Source organism: Homo sapiens, chromosome 11, assembly GCF_000001405.40.
Source record: "Homo sapiens chromosome 11, GRCh38.p14 Primary Assembly".
In the NCBI taxonomy this organism is placed as follows: domain Eukaryota; kingdom Metazoa; phylum Chordata; class Mammalia; order Primates; family Hominidae; genus Homo; species Homo sapiens.
This window is the reverse complement of record NC_000011.10, coordinates 127,767,968-127,773,785: the sequence shown is the minus strand read 5'-3', so window position 1 is coordinate 127,773,785 and position 5,818 is coordinate 127,767,968. Positions and strand designations below refer to the sequence as shown.

At 44.1% G+C, this 5,818-nt stretch overlaps 1 annotated feature.

Moving 5' to 3' along the window:
* Positions 4,252 to 4,860: an enhancer, noted in NCBI's record as "OCT4-NANOG hESC enhancer chr11:127638821-127639429 (GRCh37/hg19 assembly coordinates)". NCBI's record gives its function as "activates a minimal SCP1, AML or CMV promoter by ChIP-STARR-seq in naive H9 embryonic stem cells {active_cell/tissue: H9 hESC(naive)}" and the evidence as "EXISTENCE:reporter gene assay evidence [ECO:0000049][PMID:30033119]".

The window sequence follows — 5,818 nt, the reverse complement described above, 5'->3', positions numbered from 1 at the left end:
CCCCGATCCCTTATTTCTGCGCCCCGACCTCTTATCTCTGTGCCCTGATCCCTTATTTCCGCGCCCCGATCCCTTATTTCCGCGCCGGACCTCTTATCTCTGCGGCCCAAACCCTTATTTCCATGCCGCGACCCCTTCTCTCCTTCTCTGGAAGGCAAGAACCCCCCACCCCTTCTCCGTGTCTCTACTCTCTTTTCTCTGGGCTTGCCTCCTTCACTATGGGCAAGCTTCCACCTTCCATTCCTCCTCCTTCTCCCTTAGCCTGTGTTCTTAAGAACTTAAAACCTCTTCAACTCTCACCTGACCTAAAATCTAAGCGTCTTATTTTCTTCTGCAATGCCGCTTGACCCCAAAACAAACTTGACAGTAGTTCCAAATAGCTGGAAAATGGCATTTTCAATTTTTCCATCCTACAAGATCTAAATAATTCTTGTCATAAAATAGGCAAACGGTCTGAGGTGCCAGATGTCCAGACATTCTTTTACACATTGGTCACTCCCTAGTCTCTGTTCCCAATGCAACTTGTCCCAAATCTTCCTTCTTTCCCTCCCACCTGTGCCCTCAGTCCCAACCCCAAGCATCGCTGTCTTTCTAATCTTCCTTTTCTACAGACCCATCTGACCTCTCCCATCCTCCCCAGGCAGAGCTAGATCCCAATTCTTCCTCAGCTTCTCCTCCTCCACCCTATAATCCTTTTATCACCTCCCCTCCTCACACCCGGTCCAGCTTACAGTTTCGTTCCCTGACTAGCCCTCCCCCACCTGCCCAGCAATTTACTCTTAAAAAGGTGGCTGGAGCTAAAGGCATAGTCAAGGTTAATGCTCCTTTTTCTTTATCCCAAATCAGATAGCATTTAGGCTCTTTTTCATCAAATATAAAAACCCAGCCCAGTTCATGGCTCGTTTGGCAGCAACCCTGAGACGCTTTACAGCCCTAGACCCTAAAAGGTCAAAAGGCCGTCTTATTCTCAATACACATTTTATTACCCAATCTGCTCCCGACATTAAATAAAACTCCAAAAATTAAATTCCGGCCCTCAAACCCCACAACAGGACTTAATTAACCTCGCCTTCAAAGTGTACAATAATAGAGTAGAGGAAGCCAAGTAGCAACATATTTCTGAGTTGCAATTCCTTGCCTCCACTGTGAGACAAATCCCAGCCACATCTCCAGCATACAAGAACTTCCAAACGCCTAAACCACAGTGGCCAGGCATTCCTCCAGAACTGCCTCCCCCAGGAGCTTGCTACAAGTGCCAGAAATCTGGCCACCAGGCCAAGGAATGCCCGCAGCCCAGGATTCCTCCTAAGCCATGTCCCATCTGTGCAGGACCCCACTGGAAATCGGACTGTTCAACTCACCTGGCAGCCACTCCCAGAGCCCATAGAACTCTGGCCCAAGGCTCTCTGACTGACTCCTTCCCAGATCTTTTTGGCTTAGCAGCTGAAGACTGACGCTGCCTGATTGCCTCGGAAGCCCCGTAGACCATCATGGACGCTGAGCTTTAGGTAACTCTCACAGTTGAGGGTAAGTCTGTCCCCTTCTTAATCAATATGGCAGCTACCCACTCCACATTACCTTCTTTTCAAAGGCTTGTTTCCTTGCCTCCATAACTGTTGTAGGTATTGACAGCCAGGCTTCTAAACCTTTTAAAACTCCCCAACTCTGGTGCCAAATTAGACAATACTCTTTTAAGCACTTCTTTTAGTTATCCCCACCTGCCCAGTTCCCTTATTAGGCTGAGACACTTTAACTAAATTATCTGCTTCCCTGACTATTCCTGGACTACAGCTACATCTCACTGCCACCCTTCCTGCCAATCCAAAGTTTCCTTTCCCTCCTCCTCTTGTATCCCCCCTCCTTAACCCACAAGTATAAGATACCTCTACTCCCTCCTTTGTGACCAATCATGCACCCTTTACCATCTCATTAAAATCTATTCACCCTTACCCCACTCAATGCCAATATCCCATCCCACAGCATGCTTTGAAAGGATTAAAGCCTGTTATCACTCGCCTGCTACAGCATGGCCTTTGAAAGCCTATAAACTCTCCTTACAATTCCATTTTACCTGTCCTAAAGCCAGACAAGCCTTACAAGTTAGTTCAGGATATATGCCTTATCAACCAAATTGTTTTGCCTATCCACCCCATGGTGCCAAACCCATATACTCTCCTATCCTCAATACCTCCCTCCACAATCCATTATTCTGTTCTGGATCTGAAACATGCTTTCTTTACTATTCTTTTGCACCCTTCAATCCAGCCTGTCTTCACTTTCACTTGGACTGACCCTGACACCCATCAGGCTCAGCAAATTACCTGGGCTGTACTGCCACAAAACTTCACAGACAGCCTCCATTACTTCAGTCAAGCCCAAATTTCTTATCTGTTACCTATCTCAGCATAATTCTTATAAAAACACACGTGCTCTCCCTGCCAATCGTGTCTGACTAATCTCTCAAACCCCAACCCCTTCCACAAAACAACAACTCCTTTCCTTCCTGGGCATGGTTGGATACTTTCACATTTGGATACCTGGTTTTGCCATCCTAACAAAACCATTATATAAACTCACAAAAGGAAACCTAGCTGACCCCATAGATCCTAAATCCTTTCCCCACTCTTTTTTCCATTCCTTGAAGACAGCTTTAGAGACTGCCCCCACCCCAGCTCTCCCTGACTTATCCCAACCCTTTTCATTACACACAGCTGAAGTGCAGGGCTGTGCTGTCGGAATTCTTACACAAGAACCGGGATTGTGTCCTGTAGCCTTTTTGTCCAAACAACTTGACCTTACTGTTTTAGGCTGGCCATCATGTCTCCATGCAGAGGCTGCTGCCGCCCTAATACTTTTAGAGGCCCTTAAAATCACAAACTATGCTCAACTCACTCTCTACAGCTCTCATAATTTCCAAAATCTGTTTTCTTCCTCACACCTGACGCATATACTTTCTGCTCCCCGGCTCCTTCAGCTGTACTCACTCTTCGTTGAGTCTCCCACAATTACCATTGTTCCTGGCCCGGACTTCAATCCGGCCTCCCACATTATTCCTGATACCACACCTGACCCTCATGACTGCATCTCTCTGATCCACCTGACATTCACCCCATTTCCCCACATTCCCTTCTTCCCTGTTTCTCACTCTGATCACACTTGGTTTATTGATGGCAGTTCCACCAGGCCTAATCGCCACACACCAGCAAAGAAAGGCTATGCTATAGTACAAGCCACTAGCCCGACCTCTTAGAACCTCTCATTTCCTTTCCATCATGGAAATCTATTCTCAAGGAAATAACTTCTCAGTGTTCCATCTGCTATTCTATGACTCCTCAGGGATTATTCAGGCCCCCTCCCTTCCCTACACATCAAGCTCACGGATTTGCCCCCACCCAGGACTGGCAAATTGACTTTACTCAACATGCTCCGAGTCAGGAAACTAAAATACCTCTTGGTCTAGGTAGACACTTTCACTGGATAGGTAGAGGCCTTTCCCACAAGGTCTGAGAAGGCCACCATGGTCATTTCTCCCCTTCTATCAGACATAATTCCTCGGTTTGGCCTTCCCACCTCTATACAGTCTGATAGCAGACCAGCCTTTATTAGTCAAATCAGCCAAGCATTTTTCAGGCTCTTAGTATTCAGTGAAACCTTTATATCCCTTACGGTCCTCAGTCTTCAGGAAAGGCAGAACAGACTAATGGTCTTTTAAAAACACACCTCACCAAGCTCAGCCACCAACTTAAAAAGGACTGGACAATACTTTTACCACTTTCCCTTCTCAGAATTCAGGCTTGTTCTCGGAATGCTACAAGGTACAGCCCATTTGAGCTCCTTTTATTAGGCCCCAGTCTCATTCCAGACACCAGACCAACTTGGACTGTGCCCCTAAAAACTTGTCATCCCTACTATCTTCTGTCTAGTCATACTCCTATTCGCCATTCTCAACTATTCATACATGCCCTGCTCTTGTTTACATTGCCAGTTTACACTGTTTCTCTAAGCCATCACAGCTGATATCTCCTGGTGCTATCCCCAAACCCCCACTCTTAACTCTCAAAGTAAATAAATAATCTTTGCTGGCAAGGCTATGCTGAACCTCCTTAGGTACTCTCTAATTAGATGTCCTAGGTACTCCCAATTCTTAGTCCTTTAACACCTGTTTTTCTCCTTCTCTTATTCCGTTTAGTTTTTCAATTCATACAAAACTGTATCCAGGCCATCACCAGTAATTCTAAATGACAAATATTTCTTCTTAAAACCCCACAATATCACCCCTTACCACAAAATCTTCCTTCAGCTTAATCTCTCCCACTCTAGGTTCCCACGCCGCCCCTAATCCTGTCCTAAGCAGCCATGAGAAACATCGCCCATTATCTTTCCATACCACCCCCAAAAAATTTTCACTGTCTCAACACTTTACCACTATTTCATTTTATTTTTCTTATTAATATAAGAAGACAGGAATATCAGGCCTCTGAGCCCAAGCTAAGCCATCATATCCCGTGACCTGCAGGTACACATCCAGATGGCAGGTTCCTGCCTTAACTGATGACATTCCACCACAAAAGAAGTGTAAATGGCCTGTTCCTGCCTTAACTGATGACATTATCTTGTGAAATTCCTTCTCCTGGCTCATCCTGGCTCAAAAGCTCCCCTACTGAGCACCTTGTAACCCTCACTCCTGCCTGCCAGAGAACAACCCCCCTTTTTCCTTTACCTACCCAAACCCTATAAAACGGCCCCACCCCTATCTCCCTTCACTGACTCTCTTTTCGGACTCAGCCCGCCTGCACCCAGGTGAAATAAACAGCTATATTGCTCACACAAAGCCTGTTTGGTGGTCTCTTCACACGGACGCGAGTGAAAGCAACTTAGTAGATTAGATGATATAATAATAATAATGTCTAATGTTTATTAAACACTTATACATAGAAGCCTCTCCTGCAATGTTTTGAAATCATGGATCACTTATTGGTTTACTCAAAATATCTTTCCATCTCCCTACTGAGTGACACTGAGTTTACCCTTTATGGAGGTAAAAACACGTGTGATAATACCTCATATTAAATAGAGAAACACAAATCTTTGCTTGAGTCACCCTTGGCCGAAGAAAGGCAATTGTTAGAAACTATCTCACTCTCTCAGCTTCAGTGAACAGGAGACACTGAAACTTGCAAGAGACACATATCAGGTAGTCAGAGAGCTTAGGCCATTGGAGACTTCAGAAGGATACTCTGAAGCATGTTTCTGCCTTCAAGCAATGAGTTCCTTAGTTTCTATAAATGAGTCATGAGCCACTATAGAATGATGTACACTTCTAGACTGTCACACACACTCATAAGAGGGGGCAAATAAGTCTAAGAAATACTATGTGAAATAAACAGATTTATACTGCAGAATGCCTCATAGCTTTTAAGGCACCATAGTAAGTCTTCAAAAACTTGATAGACACTTTAGTTTTTGTTTTAAACAAATTTGTATTCCTCCCTCCCCAGCTCTCTCTCCAAGGCATGACTAATTTTCTTTTGAATCTCACTCTGGGAAATGTTGTTTTAAATGATTAGATTATTATTCAGAATTAGATACAATAAAAAATACAATACAATACAATATAAAAAATACAATATAATACAATATAAAATTTCACAAATACCTGTTAATTTATTTAGGATAATCGCCATCTTGTTAAACATAATACTCAAATAACTTAAAATGAATGGCAGTATAAACAGATTTGTCCTAATGACAGAAGGGACTGGATGCAGAAAAGGAATAAAGAGTATTTGGACCTTACCCTTAGGTTGCTCACAGAAAT